The sequence below is a fragment of the Homo sapiens genome, chromosome 22, assembly GCF_000001405.40.
Source record: "Homo sapiens chromosome 22, GRCh38.p14 Primary Assembly".
Classification (NCBI taxonomy): domain Eukaryota; kingdom Metazoa; phylum Chordata; class Mammalia; order Primates; family Hominidae; genus Homo; species Homo sapiens.
Window position 1 is genome coordinate 45,492,326 of NC_000022.11, and position 26,303 is coordinate 45,518,628.

The 26,303-nt window shown below is 53.2% G+C and overlaps 1 protein-coding gene and 1 long non-coding RNA gene across 6 annotated transcripts in view, besides 7 other annotated features; one reads left to right on the top strand and one right to left on the bottom strand.

Annotated features, from left to right (window-relative positions):
- On the bottom strand, window positions 5,945-8,662 carry LOC105373066 (uncharacterized). Of its 2 annotated transcripts, XR_938305.2 has the most exons (3): window positions 8,471-8,662; window positions 6,439-6,504; window positions 5,945-6,195 (listed from the first exon to the last, which is right to left on the bottom strand). It is a non-coding gene; the product is annotated as an uncharacterized LOC105373066 (long non-coding RNA). The 2 variants fall into 2 exon arrangements; XR_001755615.1 differs by lacking the exon at window positions 6,439-6,504.
- Window positions 6,933-7,569: an enhancer, noted in NCBI's record as "H3K4me1 hESC enhancer chr22:45895138-45895774 (GRCh37/hg19 assembly coordinates)". NCBI's record gives its function as "activates a minimal SCP1, AML or CMV promoter by ChIP-STARR-seq in primed H9 embryonic stem cells {active_cell/tissue: H9 hESC(primed)}" and the evidence as "EXISTENCE:reporter gene assay evidence [ECO:0000049][PMID:30033119]".
- The window catches only part of FBLN1 (fibulin 1), a 98,253-nt gene continuing 82,507 nt past the window's right edge, over window positions 10,558-26,303 (top strand). For all 4 annotated transcript variants that reach the window (NM_006486.3, NM_006485.4, NM_001996.4 and 1 more), the window contains exon 1: window positions 10,558-10,739. In NM_006486.3, coding sequence (NP_006477.3) covers window positions 10,661-10,739 — 79 coding nt within the window. In that variant the 5' untranslated portion in view covers window positions 10,558-10,660. The remainder of the gene's footprint in view (window positions 10,740-26,303) is intronic.
- Window positions 11,172-11,785: an enhancer, noted in NCBI's record as "NANOG-H3K27ac hESC enhancer chr22:45899377-45899990 (GRCh37/hg19 assembly coordinates)". NCBI's record gives its function as "activates a minimal SCP1, AML or CMV promoter by ChIP-STARR-seq in primed H9 embryonic stem cells {active_cell/tissue: H9 hESC(primed)}" and the evidence as "EXISTENCE:reporter gene assay evidence [ECO:0000049][PMID:30033119]".
- Window positions 11,786-12,399: an enhancer, noted in NCBI's record as "NANOG-H3K27ac hESC enhancer chr22:45899991-45900604 (GRCh37/hg19 assembly coordinates)". NCBI's record gives its function as "activates a minimal SCP1, AML or CMV promoter by ChIP-STARR-seq in primed H9 embryonic stem cells {active_cell/tissue: H9 hESC(primed)}" and the evidence as "EXISTENCE:reporter gene assay evidence [ECO:0000049][PMID:30033119]".
- Window positions 12,400-13,013: an enhancer, noted in NCBI's record as "H3K27ac-H3K4me1 hESC enhancer chr22:45900605-45901218 (GRCh37/hg19 assembly coordinates)". NCBI's record gives its function as "activates a minimal SCP1, AML or CMV promoter by ChIP-STARR-seq in naive H9 embryonic stem cells {active_cell/tissue: H9 hESC(naive)}" and the evidence as "EXISTENCE:reporter gene assay evidence [ECO:0000049][PMID:30033119]".
- Window positions 13,014-13,627: an enhancer, noted in NCBI's record as "H3K27ac-H3K4me1 hESC enhancer chr22:45901219-45901832 (GRCh37/hg19 assembly coordinates)". NCBI's record gives its function as "activates a minimal SCP1, AML or CMV promoter by ChIP-STARR-seq in naive and primed H9 embryonic stem cells {active_cell/tissue: H9 hESC(naive and primed)}" and the evidence as "EXISTENCE:reporter gene assay evidence [ECO:0000049][PMID:30033119]".
- Window positions 13,628-14,239: an enhancer, noted in NCBI's record as "H3K4me1 hESC enhancer chr22:45901833-45902444 (GRCh37/hg19 assembly coordinates)". NCBI's record gives its function as "activates a minimal SCP1, AML or CMV promoter by ChIP-STARR-seq in primed H9 embryonic stem cells {active_cell/tissue: H9 hESC(primed)}" and the evidence as "EXISTENCE:reporter gene assay evidence [ECO:0000049][PMID:30033119]".
- Window positions 22,816-23,750: an enhancer, noted in NCBI's record as "H3K27ac-H3K4me1 hESC enhancer chr22:45911021-45911955 (GRCh37/hg19 assembly coordinates)". NCBI's record gives its function as "activates a minimal SCP1, AML or CMV promoter by ChIP-STARR-seq in primed H9 embryonic stem cells {active_cell/tissue: H9 hESC(primed)}" and the evidence as "EXISTENCE:reporter gene assay evidence [ECO:0000049][PMID:30033119]".

Sequence of the window (26,303 nt, forward strand, 5' to 3'; positions counted from 1 at the left end):
ACTATGGGGTTGATTTATTTATTTTTCTTCCAGTAGAGAGTTTATTTGGGTTCCGTTCGAGGACTACAACATGGGAGTATAGATTCAAGTTGCCCTGGATATAAGCTCCCGGGAACTATGTTTTAACATAAAGATAAATGACGTTCATTTTGTTTGAACTGGTGTCCCAGGATAGTGGAGGTTCTGGAACGTCCTGGAATGTTGTGTTCTCCCGCTCCTTCCTTCCCTGGTTCACACCTATTTACAATGTCCCAGATCAGGCTGGGTGAGGTGGTTCACGCCTGTGATCCCAGCACTTTGGGAGGCCGAGGCGAGCGGATCACCTGAGGTTCCAGCCTGGCCAACATGGTGAAACACCGACTCTACTAAAAATACAAAAATGAGCTGGTCGTGGTAGCACATGCCTGAGGCAGAAGAATCACTTGAACCTGGGAGGCAGAGGTTGCAGTGAGCCAAGATTGCACCACTGCACTCCAGCCTAGGTGACAGAGCAAGACTCCATCTCAAATAAACAAACAAACAAAAAACAAAAGAAAAGAGCTATCATGTCCCAGATCATAGACACATAATTCCTCTCCCTCAAGTCTCCAGCTGTACTAGTTTGCTCGGGCTGCCATAATGAAGGACCACAGACTGGATGATTAAACAACAGAAATGTATTGTAGAGGCCAGAAGTCCAAAATCAATGGGTCGGCAGGGTTGGTTTCTCCTGAGGCCTCTCTCCTTAGTTTGCAGAGGGCTGTCTGTCTTCTCCCTGGTTATCACATGGTCTACTCTGGGTGTGTGTGTGTCTGTGTCCCAACCCCCTCTTCTTATAATCCTCTTCCTATTGGATTAGGGAGGGCCCACTCATATGACCTCTGCAGAGACCCTACCTCCAAATACAGGCACATTCTGAAGGACTAGGGTTAGGATTTTAACAGACGAATTTGCGGGGGACACAGTTCAGCTCCTAACACTAAGCAATCATTTGGCAGTGTGCTGTGTGGGCGCGGTGTGGTGGTGAGAAATGGCTCGGGTCCCAGGCATGCCTGGGTTGCATCCTGGCCCTGCCATGGGTCCTCATGAAGCTGACTGGTTCCTTTATGATCCTGCCTCCCTTGTTGTGAGACAGGAGAGCATGTGTCTCTCACGGCTGACTGTGTAAGTAAAATGAGACCAAAGGCCTGGCACATGCTGGGGCGAACGACACATGGAAATTAACATCCTTAGATAAAAGTGCAAGACGGGCCTCCAGCAGGGAGCTGGGAGGGCAGCTGGCTTCTGCCAAATTTCTTTTTTTTGTTTTGTTTTTTTTTTGAGATGCAGTCTCACTCTGTCATCCAGGCTGGAGTGCAATGATGCAATCTCGGCTCACTGCAACCTCCGCCTCTCCAGTTCAAGTGATTCTCTTGCCTCAGCCTCCCGAGTAGCTGGGAATACAGGCACGCGCCAACACGCCAAACCAATTTTTTGTATTTTTAATAGAGACAGGGTTTCACTATGTTGGTCAGGCTGGTCTCAAACCCCTGACCTCGTGTTCTGCCTGCTTTGGCCTCCCAAAGTGGTGTGAGTCACGGTGCCTGGACTAAATTCTTAACCCTCTTTGAGGTGTTTGGTATAGGACCACTCCCTACTGTCCACCCTTCCTGTGGCGGCCCCACCCATCTTTCAGCCCCTCCTCTGATCACCCCTATCCCCAACCTCTGCTGAGCTACACCCACTATTTGAACCCAACATCCTTCCTCTAGACCTGTACACAGCCTGCTCCCTTATCTGGGATGTTTGTCACCCTCCCCGAGGCCACTTCTCCTGGTCCTGAACCTCTTTAACTCCTACTCATCCTATAGACTGTGAAAGTGCCAGTGTTGGGTCACCTCCTCCAAAAAGCCTTTTTTTTTTTTTTTTTTTTGAGACAGAACCTCACTCTGTTGCCCAAGCTGGAGTGCAGTGGCACGATCTCGGCTCACTGCAACCTCTGCCTCTCGGGTTCAAGTGATCCTCCCACCTCAGCCTCCTGAGTAGCTAGGATTACAGGCGTGCGCCACCATGCTCAGCTAATATTTTTGTATTTTTAATAGACACGGGGTTTCACCATGTTGTCCAGGCTGGTGTCAAACTCCTGACCTCAAGTGATCCACCCACCTCAGCCTCCCAAAGTCCTGGGATTACAGGTGTGAGCCACCGTGCCCGGCCAGGAAGCCTTCTTTGACCACTTCCTTGGTGCTTCCTCAGCCTCCAGGGATTCCCCCATCACCGCCTGGCCTGAGGACATGGACATGGGGTTGTCACTGCAGGAGGAGTCCCATGAAGACAGTAGACCGCATTCTGGAATGCCTTTGTATTAGTCCATTTTCATACCACGATAAAGACATACCCAAGACTGTAATTTATAAAGGAAAGAGGTTTAATTGACTCACAGTTCTGCCTGTCTGGGGAGGCCTCAGGAAACTTACAACCATGGTGGAAGGCAAGAGAGAAGACAGGCACCTTCTTCACAAGGCTGCAGGAAGGAGAAGTGCCAAGTGAAGCGGGAAGAGCCCCTCCCTTATAAAATCATCAGATCTTGCCGGGTGCGGTGGCTCATGCCTGTAATCCCAGCACTTTGGGAGGCAGAGGCAGGTGGATCACTTGAGGTCAAGAGTTCGAGACCAGCCTGGCCAACATGGTGAAACCTTGTCTCTACTAAAAATACAAAAATTAGCTGGGTGTGGTGGCTCGCTCCTGTAATTCCAGCTACTTGGGAGGCTGAGGCATGAGAATTGCTTGAACCCGGGAGGCAGAGGCTGTAGTGAGCTGAGATGCACTCCACTGCACTCCAGCCTGGGCGACAGAGCAACACTCCATCTCAAAAAAAATAAAATAAGTAAAAATAAAAATAAAAAATAAAACAAAATGAAATAATCAGATCTTATGAGAACTCACTATCACGAGAACAGCAGCAGGGATCCACTCCCATGATTCAATTGCCTCCACCTGGTCTCTTCGTAAATCCCTGTGGGTCACAATTCAAGATGAGGTTTGTGTGGGGACACAAATCCTGACCATATAAGCCTTGAATTGGGTGTTGTGCTGTGTGGGAGGCATCTACTAGAGGCTTGGCAGAGCCCGTGGTTCTCCAAATTTTATGTGTGTGGAATAACTTGAAATCTCTAACTTGTTGGCAGCCCACTTAAAAGCATGGAGCTCTTGTTGCATTTATTGCTCATCAAGCCATTGCCCCGGGACCTTCCCAGTGAGGAAAAAAGCCCCTAGTGGAGGAGGGACTCAGAAATGGACCCAGGAGTGACTGGGCGTGGTGGCTCATGCCAGTATTCCCAGCACTTTGGGAGGCCGAGGCAGGCGAATTACCTGAGGTTGGGAGTTCGAGACCAGCCTGACCAACATGGTGAAACCTGTCTCTACTACAAAAACACAAAATTATCCGGGCATAGTGGCGCATGCCTATAATCCCAGCTACTCGGGAGGCTGAGGCAGGAGAAGCACTTGAACCCGGAAGGCGGAGGTTGCGGTGAGGCGAGATCGCGCCTTTGCACTCCAGCCTGGGTGACAAAAGTGAAACTCTGTCTCAAAAAAAAAAAAAAGAAAAGAAATGGACCCAGGAGTGGAGGTGTGGAGGTGGGTGGACCACAGCTCCCATGCTGGCAGAGGGCAGTATCTGGAAAGCCACACCGGGTACAGGGACTCTGCCACCTCTCTAAGCCAGTCTCCTCTGCTGTAATATGGAGAGAATGGCTATCTCAGCAGTGGCTGTCATGTTACACGTGGCTCTGTCTCAAAACGCACGGCATCGCCAGCTGCTAGGCATTGCCCTCTCCATTCATGCACCAACAAAAATGTACTGAGCATCAGAGATGTGCTCAATAACCCAGGGCATAGCAGCAAACGGGGCTGACACTGTCCCTGCCTTCAGGGAGCCCATAGACTAGTGGGCAGAAGAAAAAAAATCAATACATTAACAAAGAAATAAAGGAATATGAAGGGGGATATGTGTCATAAAGAGGGGGGTGGGTGTAGGGTACCAAGGTGCAGGGACTTGGTCAGGATGATGGGCAGGAAAGGCTCTCTGCAGAGGTGGCATCTTGGCTGAGACTTGAAGGACAGGAAGGAGCCTGGTTGAGCAAAGATGCAAGGAAGGTGAGGCTGAGGTGCACCTGGAGGGGTGGGCAGAGACCAGGGCAGCTGCTACTCTCAAAAAGCTAAGAGAGGGAGCGGACGGGGCGTAGCAGCAGCAACACCACGTGCAAAGACCGATGCAGACTTGTGTTCCAGAGGTTGGGCAGCGTCAAAGCTGTCTGTGTCCTAATTCAGGGAAAAACAGTCCACACATGCCAATAATGATCTTTCAAACATTTGGAGGGCTGTTTGTTATCAGGGGAGAGTGACCTGTTGTTCCGCTCCTCTGGGATGGAAAAAAGCTGGACTGTCACAGCAGGACATAATGAATGACTTCCTGCTTGGAGTAGATTCTTTGGGGTGTGTGTCATCTTGCCCAGGACCCAGGGATCAAAGGGTGGGGGGCCTCCCTGGCCCCTACATCCCCTAATGGAACTTTTCCAAAGACAAGTTTCATTTTTTGCAAACTACAAGCAAATTTGCTGCTCATCAAGTCTCTTGACTCTTACATAAAGACTGAGGGGAGCTGGGCGAGGTGGCTCACGCCTGTAATTCCAGCACTTTAGGAGGCCGAAGCAGGTGGATCGCCTGAGATCAGGAGTTCAAGACCAGCCTGGCCAACATGGTGAAACCCCCTTTCTACTAAAAATACAAAAATTTGCCGGGCGTGGTGGCGCACACCTGTAATCCCAGCTACTCAGGAGGCTGAGGCAGGAGAATCGCTTGAACCTAGGAGGTGGAGGTTGCGGTGAGCTGAGATTGCACCGTTGCACTCCAGCCTGGTAGGCAAGAGCGAAACTCCATCTCAAAAAAAAAAAAAAGACTCAGGAGAAAAATGATGATAATTTAATGCCAGAAACAACCATGTCTCTCCTAATGGTGGACTGTCTTTGGTCAGGAAACAAGAACAGTATAATCATAATTTGATCATAATTTGAATTTTGCTTTGGTTGCCAAGAAACTCGGGGTCAGGTTGAAGTGCAGTGACTATATACGTCTCTAGGTTTTTGGCACAAATATTCCTCCCTGACTCAACTGTTTCCTGAAACAAAAAACAACAACAAAAATTTTTCACTCGTCAAACACACCATCCACTTTCTTTCAGTTTCCTTTTAGTCTTTAGCCACATGAATACAGCTTTTACGTGGTCCTCGCTCCACACTCACACTCAATTTGGTTTTCTATTTTTTCACAGAATATTAGTTCACAAATACCATATTTCTATTTATGTATCCTATTCTGTCTTCTCAACAATGGCACAGATATTCCACTGAATCATGAAATATTGATAGGGTTGAATCCAACTGTACATACCATAAATGGGCTATTGTTGAACTCTGTATTTTTCCCTAGATTTTCACTGTTTTAAATAATTCTATTACAAAAATAAACACTTAAAGGTTATGAAGGGAGCCATCCAAAGAGAAATAGAACCAGCTAATAAGCATATGAGAAGGGTTCAACCTCTCTGATGATTAAAAACATACTTTGAAAGAAGATAAGAGTTTCTTTTCCCTGTGGAAATAGCTCAGATTAAACAACGAGGTGACACAATGCTGGCTGGAAGTGGAGAGACTCACAGCTGCTGTGTCTCTCTCTGGATTGTGAATTTGTCAGTTTCTTGGTGCAGCACTTACTCTTCTAGGCCATTCCTGCTGGGAGCCGCAGAGGTACAGCTGAACCTGGAGCGCACAGGTTTCACGGCAGCATCATTTCTAACGCTGCAAAGTTTAAATGACGAAAATGTCCCCTAATAAGAGAGTGAGTGGTTAAGTAAATGTGTATGCGACTTCTAAACATATCCACTCACTGGATATGTAATGGAGATTTCTAATAAGACAGGGAAATGTTACAATGCTATAATTTTTATTGAAAAACAGAACCCAAGATACAAAGGGAGTCAGATGACCTCCATTCAAATAGAGGCACTGCCAATCTCCAGTTCTGAGACTCCTGGGTCAGAGACAGGGACTTTATTAGTTGCAGTAAAATAATAGCTGCAGTTTAAGCATGGTGTTCACATGAGTTCCTTGTGTCTTCCAAGTCCTAGGGTCGGTGTGGAGTGGGCGAGGTCAAGGGCCCATCATGGATGGTGGATGCCTGCACACACAATGGGCTGCATTACACAGGAGAACACTGAGTTTGGGGAATTTACCGATTTTCCGGTAAACTTGTCCAGAGGGAGATGGTACCTCCTCCTTTGAGGTTGCTTTTTGCAAACACGACCCTGAGACACGGGTACAGAGTGACCAGGGCTTTGCATTTGTGGCATACTCAGCAAGAATGTGCAGGAATGCCCGTGCCCATGATGGGTTCTTCTCCCAGCACCTGGGTGTGGCTCACCTGGACTGCAAGAATCTCAGGCCTATGATCTTCCAGTGGGCCTCTGGAAGCTGGATGTGCTGAGAACTAGAGAAGGGGGCCGAGAGTCAGCCTGGGTTTTGGGGTCTGAAGCATGCTTAGAAGCATCCTGGTCCATCTCCTGCATTTTGCAGATAGGGAAACTGAGGCCCAGAAAGGGACTTGCCCAGAGCCAGACAGTGAATGAGGAGGGGGTCAGGACTGGTGCTCCCCTGTGTGGTCCTGAAGGCACATCACTGTCACCACCAGCACAGCAGCTGACAGTGATTACATTACAGAGTTTTCTCTGTGGGGCTTATGTGATGAGAGTCAGCATCTCCTTCAATTCTCACGACCGTGCAAAGTGCAAAGTCCTAATCCTTGCCCCACGTGACAGATGAGGAAACAAGGTACCAAGAAGTCAAATGCTCAATGCCACAGAGCCAGAGAGTAGCGAGCTTGGATTGGAACCCAGGTGGTCTGGCCTCAGACCCTGTCCCAGGCTGTCAGGACCTCTAGCTTGTCCTGGGGGATAGGGGTCCATGGTGGTGCCTACTTCCCTGACACCCAGTGCCTGGCTTTCCAAGTCACCAGCCACAGGGACAAGAGGATGTGGAGAGGCCATGGAGGACAGGCCTGGGATGAGGACTAGAGTGAGTGCCTAAAAAGGGGGCGCCTTGGCTGGGCGCCACGGCTCACGCCTGTAATCCTAGCACTTTGGGAGGCTGAGGCAGGCGGATCACAAGGTCAGGAGTTCGAGACCAGTTTGACCAACACAGTGAAACCCCGTCTCTACTAAAAATACAAAAAATTAGCTGGGTTTGATGGTGTGTGCCTGTAATCCCAGCTACCCCCGAGCCTGAGGCAGGACAATTGCGTGAACCCGGCAGACAGAGGTTGCAGTGAGCCAAGATCGTGGCATTGCACTCCAGCCTGGGTGACAGTGTGAGACTTGCCTCAAAAAAAAAAAAAAAAAAAAAAAATGGTGGGGGCTGTGCCTCAGAACAGGAGTAAGCTCTTGAAGCTTCAGGAAAGGCTGGGAGAGGCCAGGTTTCCATGTCCTCTCTCCTGGCTCTGGCCTCCCTCCCCAGCTGTTGCAGGCTTGGCTCAGCCCTCCTCCTCCCAGCAGTCCCTCTGCCTGCCTAGGGCAGTGTCAGTGCCTAGCTGAATGTAGGAGTCACCTCCTCCTACTGTCCCTGTTTCCTCATCCCCACCCCCTTCTCAGCCACCCACAACACAGCCACTCCCTCCCCATCCCCAGAAAGGGCCCCGGTCACATCGCCAGCGGCCACCTGCTCCATCCCCATTGGGACTTCTCAGTCCTGGCTTCACTGAGCACTGGGCCACACTGGGCAGTCCCAGCCAGAATCACTTTTTTTTTGCTATCACCCAGGCTGGAGTGCAGTGGTACAATCTTGGCTCACTGCAACCTCCGCCTTCAGGGTTCAAGCAACTCTCCTGCCTCAGTCTCCCAAGTAGCTGGGACTACAGGCATGCACCACGATGCCCAGCTAATTTTTGTATTTTTAGTGGAGATGGGGTTTCATCATATTGGCCAGGTTGGTCTCGAACCCCTGACCTCAAGTGATCCACCCACCTCGGCCTCCCATAGTGTTGGGATTACAGGCATGAGCCACCACGCCCTGCCCAGAATCACTTTTTGATTCCTTCTTGGATATTGCCTTCTCCTGGTTTCCTTCTACCCCTCTGCCTGTTTCTACGTCTTCTTTCTGAATCCCCCAGGTCCCCTGGTTCCCCCTTCGCCCTCCACCACCTTCCCTTAGTCATCTAGACTCCTTCCAGGGCACCCCATTCTCCGATGGCTTAAACGAATTAAGTTAATACCAAAGTAGTAATGAGTTCCCAACCTGTTCCAACTCAGAAATGCCTCCCTCGGGCCATCTGCTGATGTGCTGTTTCCGCACCCCACCCCATCCAAAGTCAAAACGGACCAGGATCTCTGGTGCCTCCAAACTTTTGCAGAGACATCAGGAAAGCTGGCACCACCAAGGAAACCCTTCCCACCTCTGCTCACCTTTCACTGGCCAGTCGCATGTCACCTCTTCCTGAGGGGCCTCCTTAACCTCAGAGGCGTGAGCATGCTGGTCCCCTTGGTAAGCTTTCCTGGGCTCTCTGCAAACTTCAAACTTATAAGACACCCTGTGGGGAGATGAGTTCTTGTCCTTTTGTTTTTCATTTTAAAATTTAACATGTGACCGGGCACGGTGACTCACGCCTGTAATCTCAGCACTTTGGGAGGACAAGGCGGGTGGATCACCTGATGTCGGGAGTTCAAGACCAGCCTGACCAACACGGAGAAACCCCGTCTCTACTAAAAATACAAAATTTGCCAGGCGTGGTGGTGCATGCCTGTAGTCCCAGCTACTCAGGAGGCTGAGGCAGGAGAATCGCTTGAACCCGGGAGGTGGAGGTTGCAGTGGGCTGAGATTGCGCCACTGCACTCCAGCCTGGGCAACAAAAGCAAAACACCATCTCAAAAAAACAGAAAGAAACAACATGTATTCAGAAAAGGGCACGTACCATAAATGAACAGCTCAATAAATTCTCACAAACTGAGCCCAACCTTGTAACCAATACCCAGAGTAAGAAAGCTGAACCTAACCAGCCCCCGAAAGCCCAGCACGCTCCCACTCCAGGATCACCACTCTCCTGACCTCTGAACTGTTCTTGCCTTTTTTTTTTTTTTTTTTTTTTTTTGAGACGGAGTCTCACTCCGCCGCCCAGGCTGGAGTGCAGTGGTGAGATCTCGGCTCACTGCAACCTCCGTCTCCCGGGTTCAGGCGATTCTCCTGCCTCAGCCTCCCGAGTAGCTGGGACTACAGGTGTGCACCACCATGCCTGGCTAATTTATTTTTATTTTTATTTTTAGTAGAGACAGGGTTTCACCATGTTGGCCAGGCTGGTTTCGAACTCCTGACCTCAGGCAATCCGCCCACTTCATCCTCCCAAAGTGCTGGGATTACAGGTGTGAGCCACCGCCACCGGCCTGTTCTTGCCTTTTATGTAAATGGAATCATGCAGCGAGTGTTCCTTTGTGGCTGACTCTATTACTCTGACTTACGTCTGTGAGATTTACCCGTTATGTGAGTTGCGGATCATTCACTCCTGTTCCGTTTGTCGTGCTCCTAAGCCCGAATACTCCACGATATTCATCTGCCTTGATGACGCTAGGCTTCCCAATTGGAGGAATTATGAATGTGCGGCTACATGTCTTTCTGTCTTTTGGAGCACATGTTGTATGCGTTTCTGCTGAGTGTAAGGCTGGGCGGGGCGTCGGTGGCTCAAGGGGTCCATGGTGAACTCACAGGAACACCGCTTTGAGCTGCCCAGTGGCGTTCCTATGCGTCTCATCCAGTTCCTCCGCATCTTCACCTGCACCATTTTATTCTTCTTCTTTGGAAAATAAATCTACTTGTGGTTCCAAAGCCTAACTCATCCTCAGTAACCCCGGTAGCTATGAATTCCTATACAAGAGGCTCCCGCAGGCCCAGCGCCAAAGCTGCCTCCCCTGCAGCCTCGGTGACTTCCCGGGTCTCTCCCTCCGGCCCTGGTGTCCCGGGTGAGCCCAGCACACGTTGGGATTTTGGTTGTTTGTTGGCCTGGCCCGACTGTCCCTGTCTCTGAGGGCAGAGTCGGGTCCCATCCCGGGACACGCCTGGGGTTAGCCACCGACCTGCAGCCTCCCGGCCGAGGGTGCGGGGTTGGCGGTAAGGCCTGCCCCAGTGCCCCCCAGCAGCCGGGCCTCCGACTGCAGGCCCGGGTCCCCGCTCCTCCGCGCGGAGTCGGGCGGGGATAACCTTTGATCCCGAGCCCTCCCCTCGAGAGGGGGTGGGGGGAGGAGGGGATCGGGTTTCACGGAGTGTTGGGGGATAGGACTGGGGGCATCCGGCCCGAAGGCGCCCCCTCTGTGCCCCCTCCGGGGAAGTCTGGGATCCAGGCCCTCGCCCCCAGCCGTGGGCGCGCGCCCCTCGCAGCCGGGGTCCGGGGAGGGAGGGTCCCGGCAGGGGGCGCCGGGGAGGGAGGACCAGGAGACCCGCGGCCCCGCCTCCGCCGCGCCCTCCTCCCGGGCGGGATAATTGAACGGCGCGGCCCTGGCCCAGCGTTGGCTGCCGAGGCTCGGCCGGAGCGTGGAGCCCGCGCCGCTGCCCCAGGACCGCGCCCGCGCCTTTGTCCGCCGCCGCCCACCGCCCGTCGCCCGCCGCCCATGGAGCGCGCCGCGCCGTCGCGCCGGGTCCCGCTTCCGCTGCTGCTGCTCGGCGGCCTTGCGCTGCTGGCGGCCGGAGGTAGGGGCGTCCCGGGTCCGCCGCCCCAGCTTAGGGTCCCGACCCCCTCGGCCTCGCGCTCCCTGCGAGTTTCGGAACCACGGGGACTCGGAGTCCGTGCGTTGCCCTGCGCGGCGCCCCCGGACTGTCAGCGCCGAGGCCTCGGCGACGCCCCCCTCCCCCACGGCCAGCTCCGGTCCTCATCTCCTCCCCGGCCTGGGGACTTGTTTCAAAACCGGATTCCCCCACCCCTCAAACACACCGTCCTACCCCAGTCCTAGCAAATCCAGCCGGCTCCGGGGGCCGCATCCCGGGCCCTGGGGGTTCAGGGGCGCTAGCTGGGCTGGGGGACGCTGGCTGGGGGTTACCGAGCCCAGGGCGCCTTGCACTTGACGCTGGAAGCGCCCTCGGCTATCTTTCCTCACCGCTTCCCGCCTCCACCCCCAGGTAGGAGCTGTTGTACCCAGCTTGCGGATGTGAAACTTGAGCCTGGAGGGTGGGAAGCAGTCTTTTCCCCAGGAGACACTAGCGGTCCTGGGATAGGGGCTGGAGAGGAAGAAATGAGAAAGCCAGGGAGCAGCCTGGAGGTTTTTGGGGCGTAGCTGGGAGGATGGAGGGGATGCGGACCTGGCCACCTCCTCCCTGCCTCCCTCCCGGGACAGAGGGCCCAAGGCAGTGGTTCTGCCGGGCTCGGTGCTCAGCGGGGACTGGGGACTGGTCACTTCCACCAACGGCAAGGGGGATGGAGTTTTCCAAGAGCAGATCTGATCGATGGCCCAGACCTTAGGCCCCAACTCTGGGACTGACAGCTCCGGGACAGTGCCCACCCAGCCCGCGCTTTTCTCCCCTCTAACCCTCAAGGCCTGGTCCCTGGGGGGACTGCCACGAGGTCCTCTGATCAGAGCAGCTGCTGGGCGGCAGAGCTATGACCTGTGACCTCTCTGCTGACCCGTGGCTTCTCAGAGCCACTAGCCAGGCCCGGCACTCCTGGCGTCTTTGTTTCTCCAGTGGCCCAGGTCCAGGGGAGTGCCCTAGACCACCCTCAGAATCCGAGTCTTAATCCCTGGTTTAGTTGAGTTCCTTTTAACCTCTGGTGACCGCCTTTGTTAGTCAAAAGGTCGCTTGTCCCAACTAATGCTCACTGGGGGATTCCAGGAAGGGGGCTGAAGGGGGCTGGAGGGGGAGGGGAGGCTGGGAGCTGAGCTCTACAGAGCTTTCTTGACTGGCTGGCTGCAGCAGAGCCCTGTGGAGCTCTGATTGTTCAGGCGGTGCTGGGCACGGCCTGGGCACCTCGTGGGGTTGGAGATGGTGTGGGGAGGCGCAGAGCTCAGTGTTGGCACCAGGAGCCTTCGCAGCCCCTGGGGGCTCCCTGGAGGCTCTTTAGAAGAGATGGAGCTTGATGTAAGGGGAGCGCGGGAAGAGGGCATTCCAGCAAGCAGCAGGCCGGGTGGCTGCCAGCTGGAGGGAAAACCCCGAGGGGCCCTGGGTGATGGGTGGGTGGGACATCCGAGACTCCTGTTAGAAAAGGAAGGAGCCTCAGAGGCCCCGATTGTGTCGATGAGGAAGCTGAGGGCCTGAGAGAAGGCGTGGTAAAACTCTCCCTGGCCCCGGAGTCTCTGCGTTCCCTCTCACTGTTCTTTTCTGTCTGCGGTTTGCGAACAATTTCTCCCTATGTGTGTGTGACTGAATGAACACCCCAGGACTTGCGGGCCCAGTGTGGCTCACTGCTGAGCCACAGAGAAGTTTGTAATTGGAAGGGTTTAAAAAAGCCTCCTAATTGCACACTTCGATAAAAGCAGCTGGATGTCCTGTGGGCCTTTTGTTTCTTTTGGGGAGAAGTCTCTTTGAGTTTCAACAGGTTTAATTTGGTACAGTTTGGGAAGGGGCTTTTGAAGACTGCCTGGCCCCTATCTGCAGCTGTGAGGCCCCCGAAGCCCTGTATGTAAGGCCACAAGTGGCACCGCCCCTGCTCTCAGAGAGCTGTGGGGCCGCAGATGGTGAGCCTGTTAGCTGATCTGCAGAAACTCCTTTGGCGACGGCCGCTTAAATGGAGAAGGGCGCTGATCTTTCTTGCCAAACGGCCGAGAGGAGCCGCCTGTCTGTCCTGTGTCTGTCCGTCCCGTTGGGCTTTACTGAGAGCTGGGTGGGAGGGAGTGGAGAGGAGGAGGTGTTAGGAAAAGACGATTGTGTTTTCTCCAAGGCTTTCTTGGCCTCTGGCTGCAGCCGGGCAGCGTTTCCGACTGATTAAAAGAAAGTTGGGAGGGAGAACAAAGGCCAGGGAGGACTTGGCTTGAAAACGTGTGGTCTGTGCCGCCACTCCTGGAAGTTTCCCAGTCAGGAGGTGGGGGCCAGGGCACTGAATGCATGAAGATGAGACTCTGTGCCATGGGGGTCAGGGCTGGGGCCTCTCCTGCAGCACCCACAGCTCTGGCTCACGCCCCGCTCCTGGCCCTGCTGAGTGCCCCCCAACTCAGGGCTGCATTTGCCACCCCTGTTAGGTGTGTAGGGCAGGAGTAGGGGCACGCGGCTGACTCATCTTCAGGTCCTGGAGGGCTCCACGGGCCTTGTGAGACTAGAAATCAGTTTGCATCAGAAAAAGCCATGAGATGGTTTGGTGGTTTTCTCATTTATAAAATGAAGGGAACAAAAACCTACTTAGGTTGTCTTGAGGATTAAGAGAGAGAACATAGGATAGTGTCTACCATGGCAGCTATATTATTATTATTATTATTTTATTTTATTTTTGAGACGGAGTTTCGCTCTTGTCGCCCAGGCTGGAGTGCAATGGCATGATCTCGACTCACTGCAACCTCCGCCTCCCGAGTTGAAGCGATTCTCCTGCTTCAGCCTCCCCAGCAGCTGGGATTGCAGGCGCCCATCACGCCCAGCTAATTTTTGTACTTTTAGTAGAGATGGGGTTTCACCATCTTGGCCAGGCTAGTCTCGAACTCCTGACCTCAGGTGATCCACCTACCTCGGCCTCCCAAAGTGCTGGAATTACAGGTGTGAGCCACCGTGCCGGCTGGCAGCCCTGTTATTAATGTTAGCTATTATTCCTGTTGTCCCCTTCTCTAGGAAGTGTTGGCACCAGGAGCCTTCGCAGCCCTTGGGGGCTCCCTGGCGGCTCCTTGGAGGAGATGAGGCTTGATGTGAGGGGAGCGCGGGAAGAGCGCAATTCTGCCAATACCCCAGAATTGTTTTCCCCAAGATGCCTCTGCACATTCTACTACTACTGAATTTCCCAGCCAGGCGCTGAGCAGAAGGCCCCATGGGGCTATAGGACTGGTAGTCGTCAGTGCCAAACCCGTGTCAGGAAAGGTGGTGTTCTTAGCCATTCAGTCATTCATTCACTAAGGGACAGCTCAGTGCCAGACACTGCTCTATAACTTGTGGATGTGGCAGGAAAGGAGAGAGACCCAGTTTTTCCCCCTCATGCAACTAGGAGATCCAGAAAAATGAACTGAGCCCTACTGGCAGAGTCAGGGAAGACTTCCCGGAGGAAGCGGCATGCAAACTGGGAACCTAAGGAGGAAAAGGCAGTGGCTAAGTCTGTGGGTAGGGCTGGGAGGATGGGGGAAAGGGTGTTCCTGGCAGGGGAAATGGCAGGGCCAAATACCTGGAAGGAAGAGAAAACACGAGACTTCCAGGGAAACCCCCTCCTTCTACCCACTTCCAGTTCCTTCCAGTTCCACCCCCTCCTCACCACTGGGGGAGACTGTGCTGTCTAGAGACTTCTCCAGCAGCTTCCCTGACCTGGTGAGACTTTAAGCCCGGGCTCTGAGCACTGGGCACCTGGTCAGGGCCGCCTTCCAGGTGAAGTTTATTAGAACAGTTCTAAGAGGGCATGTAGTTATTTTGCCAGCATATTTTATACAACAAGATTTTCCTTTTGCAGAATAGCAAATCATAACAATTTGATGAATGAATCCTTTCGTAGGCCCCATATGGTTCCAGTTTCCTTGTGATGATCTCACATGTGGCCCTATAAGTAAACAGGGTGGGAGGGGGGAACCACTGTGTCAACTTCCCTGGGATAGGAGACCCCCTCAGGCTGGAGGGGAGCTCAGGACTGGCTAAGTCATCTGCCACAAGTCACCCAGCGAGGAGCGGGGCTGGGGCTGGGCCTAGAGCTGGGCTGGGCCCCACCTCCTTTAACCCCACAGTGGTCCTAACTAGAGGCTGGGGTGGGAGGGAGCGAGGCACCAGTCGCCATAGCTTCCTACAGGTTATTTGCGGGTTACTACACTGTGCGGAGCCAACATGAGAAGGGGGTTAGGAAGCTGTGTGTTGGTCCCAATTCTGAAAGTGTCTGGAGAGATCTTGATGACACCCACAAACTCTCTGCCTCTGTTTCCTTCACTATAAGATGTGAGTGTCCTCTGGGTAATTATTATAGGTGAAATGCTTTACATTTAGTAACCAATGTCGTCATCTCAGCAGCCCTACGAAATAGGTGATCCAGTGTTGTTTTGAACCTATTTTTATTTTTTATTATTATTTTTGAGACGGGGTCTCACTCTGCCGGCCAGGCTGGAGGGCAGTAGTGTGATCTCGGCTCACTGTAACCTCCACCTCCTGTATTCAAACCATTCTCCTGCCTCAGTCTCCTGAGTAGCTGCGACTACAGGCATGCGCCACCACACCTGGCTAATTTTTGTATTTTTAGTAGAGATGTAGTTTCACCATGTTGGCCAGACTGGTCTTGAACTCCTGACCTCAAGTGATCCACCTGTCTCGGCCTCCCAAAGTGTTGGGATTACAGGCGTGAGCCACTGCGCCTGGCCCTGTTTTTCATTTTGGATCCTGTTACCCACTGGAGTGAAAAGGTCCTGTGAGTTTTGCTACCTAGGTATGAAGCCCGGCTTCTTGTTTTGGCCTAGAACTCCTCTATGGACCTGCACAGTGCCATTTCTGAGAGTCACTGATGCGTGTGATAGGTTGAGGATGGAAATCCAACACCTGTGCACCCAGCATGGTCTCCCCACAGCACGGGGACTCGAGCACCTTCCTGCCCCACCCCTGCCCCAGTTCACCTGTGTTACCTAGCTATACCCTCACCCTAGCCCTGCAAAGGAGGTGCTGTCATTGTCCCCCTCATCAATGAGGGGACATGGAGGCCCAGAGAGTCCAGGTAGCAAGACTGTGGGTGCATAGCTGCTAAGTGACAGCAGCAGGACTTGAGCTTGGGCAGCTTGGCCCTGACGTCATACCCCTCACCAGCACACTGGACAGCCTCGCGTATCTTTTTTTTTGAGACGGAGTCTTGCACTGTCTGGGGTGTGATCTTGGCTCACTGCAACCTCTGCCTCCCAGGTTCAAGCAATCCTCCTGCCTCAGCCTCCCAAGTAGCTGGGATTACAGGTGCCCGCCACCACGCCTGGCTAATTTTTTGTATTCTTAGTAGAGACGGGGTTTCACTATGTTGGCCAGAGTGGTCTCTAACTCCTGACCTCGTGATCTGCTCACCTTGGCCTCCCAAAGTGCTGGAATTACAGGCGTGAGCCACCGCGCCCAGCCAGCCTCACGCACCTTTAGAAGACTTGAATCTTTAAGTCTAGTTCAGGGGGGGATGCCTGTTTCCTTTGGAGTGTGATGGTGGGGTGTGTATGAGCTTTACAGTCAGAGCTGGATCTGAAGCCTGCCTCTGCAGAGGCTGCATGGCCTCGGGCAACTTGGTGATTCTCTCTTTGCCCCCACTTTATAGAATACCTAGGATCATGTGAGATCATTTGTGCGTTCATTCATTCACGGACATTTATTGAATGACTGCTTAGGGCAGGCATGGGGGCAGGAGGCAGAATGAGACAGTGTCTGGCTCAGACTCATGGCACTAAGTACAGAGTTAATTATTTGTGCTAAGTGCTGGGAAGCTCAGAGTACAAAGAGACCATGCAAGAAAGAAAACATATTTGTCCCATGTGCATGCGTGTATATGTGCATATGTGTGTGCATTGGCGGTAGTTAGGGAGGACTTCCTGGAGGAAGGGACCTTTGAGCTGGTGTGGCATGAACAAGCTGGCCTGAGGAGAGCAAGCGTCCTGGGACCCTCCAGCCTTTGAAGCTCCAGGTTCCAAATGCCAGGTGCAGAGGATGCATGACAGGTGGCCAGAGGGGTGAGAGGAACACCAGGGGAGATGCGTCCTGGAAGCCCAGGAGGCCCTTGGAGCAGGGTGGGATGTTGCAGAAGGATGAGGATGCCCCTCTGTGCACTGGGCTGATGTAGGAAGTTGCTGCCGGGGCCAGAGCTGCCTGGAGGGAACTGTGGGGAGAATGCTTCTCGCCTTCCCAGAGAGGTACCTTCTGCTCCTTCTCTCTTGCTGCCTCCTCCCGGCTGGTTCACCATCCAAGACCCCTGTCATCTCCATGACAGATGCTGGGAACAGGCTCAGCAGTGGACACAGTCAGGTCTTGTGTTGGGGATGGGGCCAGGAGCCCTAAGAGCAGGCTCCAGTTCGCCCTGCTTCCTCCTGCAGAGGCCAGGTGGTCTTGAAGAGGGGACACGAGTCTGTCCTCATCCTGGAACTGTAAGGGATGCAGGGACATAGGCCAATCTGGCTGGACCCCTGGTGGCTTCCCAGACAACATAGTAAAACTCCGTCTCTACTAAAAATACAAAAAATTAGCCAGGCGTGGTGGTAGGCGCCTGTAATCCCAGCTACTCAGGAGGGGCAGGGTGCAGGTGGGGGTTGGGTGGAGTCGCCCAGTCCTGTTTGGTTGGAACTTTCCATCAGGGTCTCTGTGGTTGACATCTTGTTGCATTTCAGGCTTTTCGGTTCCTTGGTTCTGGACACCACGGAGGCCACTCCAACTCTTTGCTGTAGCTTTAGACAATGCTGTGGGGCAGGTGGGGTGGGGGCATGATCCTTTTGTGTGGTGAGTCCGGGAGGCACACAGGATGAAGCCTCAAGCTCCCATTCACTTTTAAAAACTCCTGACGCCCTCAGCTGCCTCTGAGTTTTTGAGCTTGAGCAGAGGAAATCAAGGAAATTGAGGCTGGCTTCTGATCACATGCCTTTACTTCATCCCCAGCTATTCACGGAGCTTTGCCAACTTAAAATATCCTCATTTGCCCGATGAGGATATTAAAATAAAAAACAGACACCCATTCAACCACCATCTCATATCGTCACCACTTCACAGAGGTAGGGGACATTTTAATGCCCCGGATTTTGGAAGGACGCGGTCTCACAATAAAAGACAGTATTGTAGATGGAATCGGGCCGGCTTTGTAGAGGTCCCTGGATCCTGCTTTGCTTTCACCCTATTTTGTTGCAACCCAGTGGAAATTTTGCCAGAGCAATGCCCTTACACAGGGTGGGATTGGGGAAGCCTGCTCTTAACTGCAGGCCAAATCCTCCATTCAGTTTATAAATGAAAAAACTGAGGCCCGGACTTGCTCCGGGTGGGAAAACTCTCAACCATGAGATCAGAAGCAGACTCCAGGCCTCCCGGTTCCCAGCCCCCAGTCTCCCCTCTGTGACAGTCTGCTTGCTCAGCAACCTGGGAATTAAGATCCTCGTGGCTCACAGGCTGCTGGGGATGGGATCAGGCATTGCCCAAAGCTTCTGCGATGTTTACAGCTAGCAGGCTGACATTCTGGAAGCTTCCACCCAAGGAGTGGTACAGAATCTCTCTGAGCATCTGTAGTCTTAGAAAGAGCACGTGGCCATATCCTTCCTGGGTGTCCAGGGCATGGTCCCCGCAGGCCATGTGACCTGTGTTTCTCTGCATGCCTTGGAACATGGGGCATGCCGCTGATCTACACCATAATCTTTATGGAGGTTTAACTCACCTGGAAAAAATTTAGTTTTAGCAGCTGTCCCAGGCAACAAACGGTATCTGAGGCCTGTGAACTGAGCCAGCTCCATCCATCTGCACCAGTTACTCCGGCAGGCATGTGTCTCTCCTGAAGAGAGGTGGTGGATGTGGTGGCGTGTTGGCCATCGGGCACCGTGTCAGCCTGGAGGAGTGTGTGGTTCCTTTGAAAAAGAATGTTCTCCCAATCCTGGTGTGATAACTTTTCCTTTTGTTTAATTTTGAAGCTTCTGTTTTTTCCTGTGGTCAGTGTGCTAATGTAAGCACTTTTCCTGGATTATCTCATCAATCTTCCCCCATTTTTTTTTTTTTTGAGACAGAGTTTCGCTCTTGTTGCCCAGGCTAGAGTGCAATGGCATGATCTCAGCTCACTGCAACCTCTGCCTCCTGGGTTCAAGTGATTCTCCTGCCTCAGCCTCCCGAGTAGCTGGGATTACAGGCATACGTCACCATGCCTGGTTAATTTTGTATTTTTAGTAGAGACGGGCTTTCTCCATGTTGGTCAGGCTGGTCTCAAACTCCCAACCTCAGGTGATCCACCTGCCTCGGCCTCTCAAAGTGCTGGGATTACAGGCATGAGCCACCATGCCTGGCTTTTTTTTTTTTTTTAGACAGTCTCACTCTGTCACCCAGGATGGAGTACAGTGGCACGATCTTGGCTCACTGCAACCTCTGCCTCCCGGGTTCAAGTGATTCTCTCACCTCAGCCTCCTGAGTAGCTGGGATTTCAGGTGCCCGCCACCATGCCCAGCTAATTTTTGTATTTTTAGTGGAGACTGGGTTTTACCATGTTGGCCAGGCTGGTCTCGAACTCCTGGACTGAAGTGATGTCTGCCCACTTCAGCCTCCCAAAGTGCTGAGATTACACCCATGAGCCACTGCTCCCGGCCTCTTCCCCCATTTTTACAGATGAAGGAAGTGAGCCTCCTTGAGTCTTAGTAAGGGAGGGAGCTGGATTCAAGGCTGAGCAGTTTTAACCCGCAGCGTTGCCTTCCCTGGGAACATTCGAGTTGAAGGTTAACGAGATTTTGCAAGAGTTTGCTCTTGGTTTATATCTAATATTATGCTTTGGATCTAACTCACATGGTCAGATGCAGGGGTCAGATTGAGACTGGTTGATTGAAACTCCTCCGAAACAACAGGAAATGATCTGGGAGAGAAGATTCCAGGTCCCCTGAGGCCCTGCTTCTCTCTTGATCCCCCACAGCCCAGTGTCGAGTTACCAGCGAGTGCCTGTTCTGCTTGGGTGGGTGTCCAGTGTGGTACTGGTCAGAGGTAATTTTTGGATCTCAGAGCTGCTCACAGCTGTTGGCGGTCTGGGATGGAAGAAGCAGGCGTGGCTTCGGTTGGCCCACATTATCCTCCTGACTCACAGTGTTCCAGGGCTGCTCAGCTGCCCTAGGGTTTGTGTACAAATGGCCTTGATTTGACACCCTTCTGAAGGTGGGGGGCCTGACTGATCAGGCAGTTGGTTGGATGCTGTTGACCCCCGCAGAACTCTTGGTACCTATGAGGCGTGGAGTTGGCGTGGGGGATCTGTTAGCCCCAGTCCCCTTTTTGCCCCCACCCCAGCCTGGCCGAGAGTCCTGGGCAGGCACTGAGAAGGCAACACATGGGGTAGGACTTGATGAGCAGGTGGATAGGACAGTGAGGTGGGAGGTGCCTCTGTGGGCCTCAGATGGTCCCCAGCCTGTGTGATGGGGCAGCGAAGCTCAGGACACCTGGTGTTTGGATATCCACAGGTGACCGGATCCCCAGGCAAATGAGCAGCTGGAAGTCCCTGCAGGGATGCGGGAGGCACAGCCAGGGTGGGGCTGGACCCCAGGCCCTTCCCCACTCCCATCGCCCCACCCTCACAGGACACACGGGGGAGCTGTGATCCTCAGGGTGTTCTTTTGTTTTTAGTTTTTTTGTTTTGAGACAGGGTCTCCCCCTGTCCCCCAGGCTGGAGTGTAGTGGTGCAGTCGTGGCCCACTGCAAGCTTGAACTCCTGGGCTCAAGCGATCCTCCCACCTCTGCCTTCCAAAGTGCTAGGATCATAGGCTTGAGCCACCATGCCTGGCCTTTTTGTTGTTGTTGTTCTTTTGTTGTTGTTAAGTCATCTTTATTTTGGTTGCAAAGTTGCAATCTATTTTTTACTGAACATTTTAAGTCTCATTTGAAGTTTCATAGCTTGCCGTGTAAACCATTGCATACACTGTCAAACTGCTGTACAGAACATTCTGAAATACAATCTACTAAATTAATTCGCTTGACACTGTTCAGATTACTGCATGAAAACAACATTGATTGAAGAAGGCAAGTAAGTCAACGGGCAAAGCATCGATTGCTTTCCTACTGTAGGATGTTATAAGATGACCAACAAACACTAAATTATTTTGCTTAAAAGATGTACTTTTTATTGTGGTAAAATACGCATCACATGGGATTTGCCATTTTAACCATTTCCTTTTTTTTTTTTTTTGAGATGTAGTCTCACTCTGTCACCCAGGCTGGAATGCAGTGGCATAATCCCTGCTCACTACAACCTTTACCTCCCAGGTTCTAGTGATTCTCCTGCCTCTCAGCCTCCTGAGTAGCTGGGATTGCAAGCTCACCCCACCAAACCCGGCTAATTGTAGCTGGGATTACAGGCGTGAGCCACTGCGCCCGGCCCATTTTAACCATTTCTAAGTGTATGGTCCAATGGTATTAAATACAGTCACATTATTGTACAATCATCACCACCTCCATCTCCAGAACTTTTCATATTCCCAAACTGTTAAATACTAACTCCCCGTCCTCTCCCCCGAAGCCTGTGGCACCCACCCATCCTTTTCCTTCCTGTCTCTGACAAATTCCCTACAAATTTAACTCCTCTAGGGACCTCATAGGTACTCTTATCCTGGGTCACCATACGTGCCTTACTGGCCTTTCTTTTCATAACCAGAGTAAAGCTTGTTTATTTTATTTTGAGACGGAGTCTTGCTCTGTCGCCCAGGCTGGAGTGCAGTGGCGTGATCTTGGCTCACTGCAACCTCTGCCTCCCAGGTTCAAGCGATTCTTCTGCCTCAGCCTCCTGAGTAGCTGGGATTACAGGCATGCACCACACGCCTGGCTAATTTTTGTATTTTTAGTAGAGACGGGGTTTCACCATGTTGGTCAGGCTGGTCTCGAACTCCTGACCTCATGATCCGCCCACCTCGACCTGCTGGGATTACAGGCGTGAGCCACCGTACCTGGCCAAGCTTGTTTATTTAAAAGGGGACAGAGACAACTTTTTTTCGTTTCTAATCGGAATGTGTCTTGGAAAGGATATGTCTGAGGGGTGGGAGTGGAGTTGGTTTTGTGCTTCAGGGAACCTGTTCCTGCCCTGTCCCAAGGTAAGCTTGTAAAGAGGTCGGTGCCCTTGTTTTGGAACCCAAGTTAATGACGCACCTTTTCTTGTGTGGGCTACACACATCTTTAACCTGCTGCAGATAGTACTTTTGTTGGCATCTGGAGCCATGATGCCAGGCCCCTCTTCTCCCTGAAGCTCAGTTTTCCTCTAATGGGTGGGAGGTAACCAGTGCTGAGTCCACTAGGAAGATCGAGGCACATCTCCAAGGCTAAGAAACCGGCAGTTCTGTAGCCTCAGCCACTCCCCCACCCCTAGCTCATCCCTGGCTTTTGCCGAAATTCTAACCAGCCCCGTATTTTGTGTGGGTGGGCTCCAGCCCCTCGGGATTTTCCTGGGGGTCACTGCCTCCACCCCCTGGGACGATGGAGGAGGAGGAGGCTTGTTTGTGGGGGCAGAGGATCTTGCCCCAGCAGCCTTTGCATGTCAAGAGTGGTCTTGCAGATCGGGCCCCTTGCCCTGGCTCTGTTTAACTGGTGCTTACTGAGCCGTGACGTTTGTGCTGGGCATGGGCAGGTGCGACATGGACAGTGAGAGGAGGAAGACACCATCCCTGGCCCCGAAGGAGGTTTTAATTCAGGAGGAGCAAGAAAGAACAGTGTTGGAGGCTGCCAGGACTGAGCCTGATGCCAGAACTCAGGGCCCAGGAGCCGTGGGTGAGAGCAGTGGGCAGGAGGGCGTGGGGGCCTCCAGTGTCCACTGAGCCCTGTGAGGAGCTGGTCACACACTGGTTTGCTGTGGGAGCAGGGACACCTTAACATGTATGTTCATGTCACTGGTGACTTGACGCTTTTCAGCTTCCTCTGTTCTTAATTCCATTTGGAGCCCAGGCAGGATGATAGCAGAATGAATGGAAGGGGTTGAGGAGTGAGAGCCGGTGAATGAGAGGGGCCTTGTCTGTAGGCCTTTGTGGGTCAGGGCCCGGCAATTGATTGGTGAGTGTTACAGTGAGGATGATCGTCCACCTCTTGGGTCCCCTCCCCATGCCTCTGCCTCGTCGCCATCCAGCCTGGCCATGGTCCCTGCTTGGCTCTTTGTGGACTCCCTGATGGGGCTGTGCAGGAGCTCTCCCTTGGCTAATGACGGGGTGAGCTCAGCTCCCCTCGGGCACAGCCCCCAGACAGCCCTGCTTTGCAGAGTTCAGCTCTGGGGCTGCTCAGAACATGGGAGCTACCTTCTGAGTTTCCGGAAGACCAAAGGACTTCACATTTGATTGTCCTGCTGAGAGTGAGGTTCACAGTACCCAGACTCCCCAGCAGGAAGCATTTCCAAACCGTTTCTGCAGCTCTGGGTGCAAAATTCCCAGGGCTACGGGAGCCTGCCCTTCCCTGTGTTTTCCTTTCTCAGAGTCCGAAGGAGGCTCTGGGGCCACAGCTCACCTGCGGGGGATTCCGCACACCAGCACCCGGCTGTGTCTCCCCCATTTCTTATGAGCAGCGATAAGTCAATCCCCTTCGACGGTTTAATCCTCCAGCGACTGTTTACAGAGAACTTTCTGTGTGCTTGGAACTTTATAAAGTGCATCCCTCTTCTCAGCAACCCTGGGAAGACAGTGCAAGCCCCGTTTTCCCACTGGGGAAGCTGTGATTCAGAGAGGCGGCGCTGCCTGCCCAGGGTTAGAGAGCAAGAAAGTGCTGGAGCTGGGATTGGAACCAAAGGCTGTTTGGCTCCAAAGCTTACACTGTTTCTACTCAACTCTGTAGCTGCCACATGCTGGCATGGATGTCGGGGGTATACAAGGACAGGAGACAGAGCCTGCCCTCAAGACATTTGTGGCTATGAGGGTAAGGCAGGCAGGCAGGGCTCTGGAGGATGGAGAGACATGCGCCAGGCACGGGGTGATATGGGAGCAGAGGGGCACCCGAGCTATGCAGGGTGGGCAGGCAGGCGGCCAGGAGAGGGTGACAGGGCATGGGAGGTGGGCTAGGATAGGAGACGGGCTGTGGAAGACACGAGGGTGAAACTGCAGGTGGGGGCTGAGTGGGCCTGGCCAGAGAAGGGGTGAAGGGAGTGTGGGGACAGACATGGGAACCGGGGTTGGCTGCAGAAAGGGTGAAGGGGGTAGGGGGACAGATGGGAACTGGGCTTGGCTGCACAGGGGAGAGCAGCCTCGCTGTCAGGCCACATGGCTGGATCACATCCTGTTCATCCAGGAGTGCACCACGGCCTGTCTCGTCTGTAACAGATAAGGTCCTTGGCTTAGTGAGTACTTTTGCTTTTCTTAATGAATTAGAGCAAGAATGAATGAATGAGTGAATGGGGACATTCAAGGTTATCCCCATGATAACACGGTTGTCACTCCTGATGACTTTTCCTCTGGTGCTGGGAGGCAACTCCAGACAACTTGACATTAGCTCTGCCTCCTGGTGAATCTCACGTTCACCGAAGAGCATCGCTGGAGAGGGGACACCTGAGGTGGGAGGGGGGCTGAGTGGTCAGGCTGCTGGAAACTGTTGGGCTTTGCTGTGGCACGAAACTTCACCCTTACCCACGCCACTGCAGGACTCCTCCTGCCAGCCTCGGGGAGCCGGGTGAGAGTCAGAAGGGTGGGTCTACCTTGCACTGCAGAAAGCAGCTCTGAGTTTCCTGGAAGCCCTGGGGAAAAGGGAAAGCCCAGAAGTTGTCACTGGGGGACATGGTTCTAGGTGAGACCCCCCTCCTCCTGGCCTTGTGGAATGGCCTGGCTGAGCCCTAGCTCATTCGTGCACTGACCTTATCCATTCTGGAATGTTTCTGCAAGTTTCCCCTCCTCCCCTGCTGAGAACGGGATGGAGCATCTGAAGGACGCATAGTCTAGAAGTGCTTACAGTGGCTGATGACTGATAGGGTGGTTTAGCAAGGTGCTGCCTCACCCAGCAGACAGCAGCCGCCCTCTGGGCCACCCCGAGGGCCCAGCCTGGAAGAAGAATGTATTCAGGCAGGGCACCCACAGTTGTGTGTGCGGAAACGCTGCCAAGCCCAGTGGGATTTACCCTCTAGGGGCTGGAAAGCCATTAGGAAGGAAAAGTGGTGCTTCTTAAAGCCCAGTTTTGTAACATCCTGCCGAGAGGTGACCTTCTGCCCAGCAGCTGGGGCTGTCGTGCTAATGCTTTCTGGCATTTGAGTCCTTTAGAATGAGGTCCAAGTATGTGGGCACCTGGCACCCGGCCGCTCCTCCCTTGGGGCACAATGGGGTCTTCTCCCTTCCGTGAGCTGAGGGGCTGGGAGGGTGCCCACTGGGGCTGTAGCCTGGGCTGGGGCATGGGGCACAAGGGCCTGTGTGCCCAGCTCATTTGGGCCGTGGCCTGGCTCTGAGGGTGTGGGCCGGCTGCTTGGAGCGTGATCCTTTCATCTGCCCTTTTTGCGAGTGGGAGATAAGATGGCCAGGCTGCGGTTACTCCTGAACCTGTGCTCTCTGCTTTGCCAGTCCTGTCCTCACCAGACTTCTCACAGGTCCCCGTTTCTGTGGAAGAGGGGATCTTGTGGTAAGTCAAGGGCAGAAACCATCACCAGCCTCGGTTTCCTCAATCTGTAGCTTGAGGCTTATGTCCCCCCTCCTGCCCCTTTGCTCCCAAGATTAAAGGAGAAAACACGGATGTGGGTCACAGAAGCTGGTCTAGAAATGGTGGTTTTTAGGCTGGGTGCGGTGGCTTATGCCTGTAATCCCAGCACTTTGGGAGGCCATGGCTGGCCAATCACGCAAGTTCAGGAGTTCCAGACCAGCCTAGCCAACATGGTGAAACCCCATCTCTACTAAAAATACAAAAAAGTAGCCGGGCGTAGTGGTGGGCACCTGTAATCCCAGCTACTCAGGAGGCTGAGGCAGGAGAATCACTCGAACCTGGGAGGTGGAGGTTGCAGTGAGCTCAGATCGCGCCATTGCACTCCAGCCTGGGCGACAGAGACTCTGTCTCAAAAAAAAAAAAAAAGAAAAAAAAAGAAAATTTTTTTTTCCTTCTTACTTGACTCAGCTCGTTGCATTTTGAACCCCCTCCCTGTTTGCAGTCTCTCCTCTGGAAAGAGTCATGTCGGCTGTTCCCTGACCTGCTGGGCTGGGCTGGCCGGCAGCATGGCCGTGCCTCTGTCATCAGGGGCTGTCTTTCTTGCCTACTGGACTGTGAAGGCAGGGACCCTGTCTGGACAGGGACCGCATCAGCATCTCCAGCATGTGGCTGGAGCAGGGATCCATGTGTGCTTGGATCTCAGGGGCTGAGCCGCAGCCCTGTCCAAGCTGGATTCAGATGGGGGAGGATTCAGGTCTTTCTTCTAGGAAGGAGTGGGGTGTGGACTCGCAGCTGGGGTCTGGTGGGGTTTTCAGTACTGGTTTGCAGAGTGACTAAGGGATGTGCCCCCAGCCTGATGCTGTCGTCAAGACAGAAGGACGTGCGTGTCCTGGTGGTGCATCTGGGAGGGCC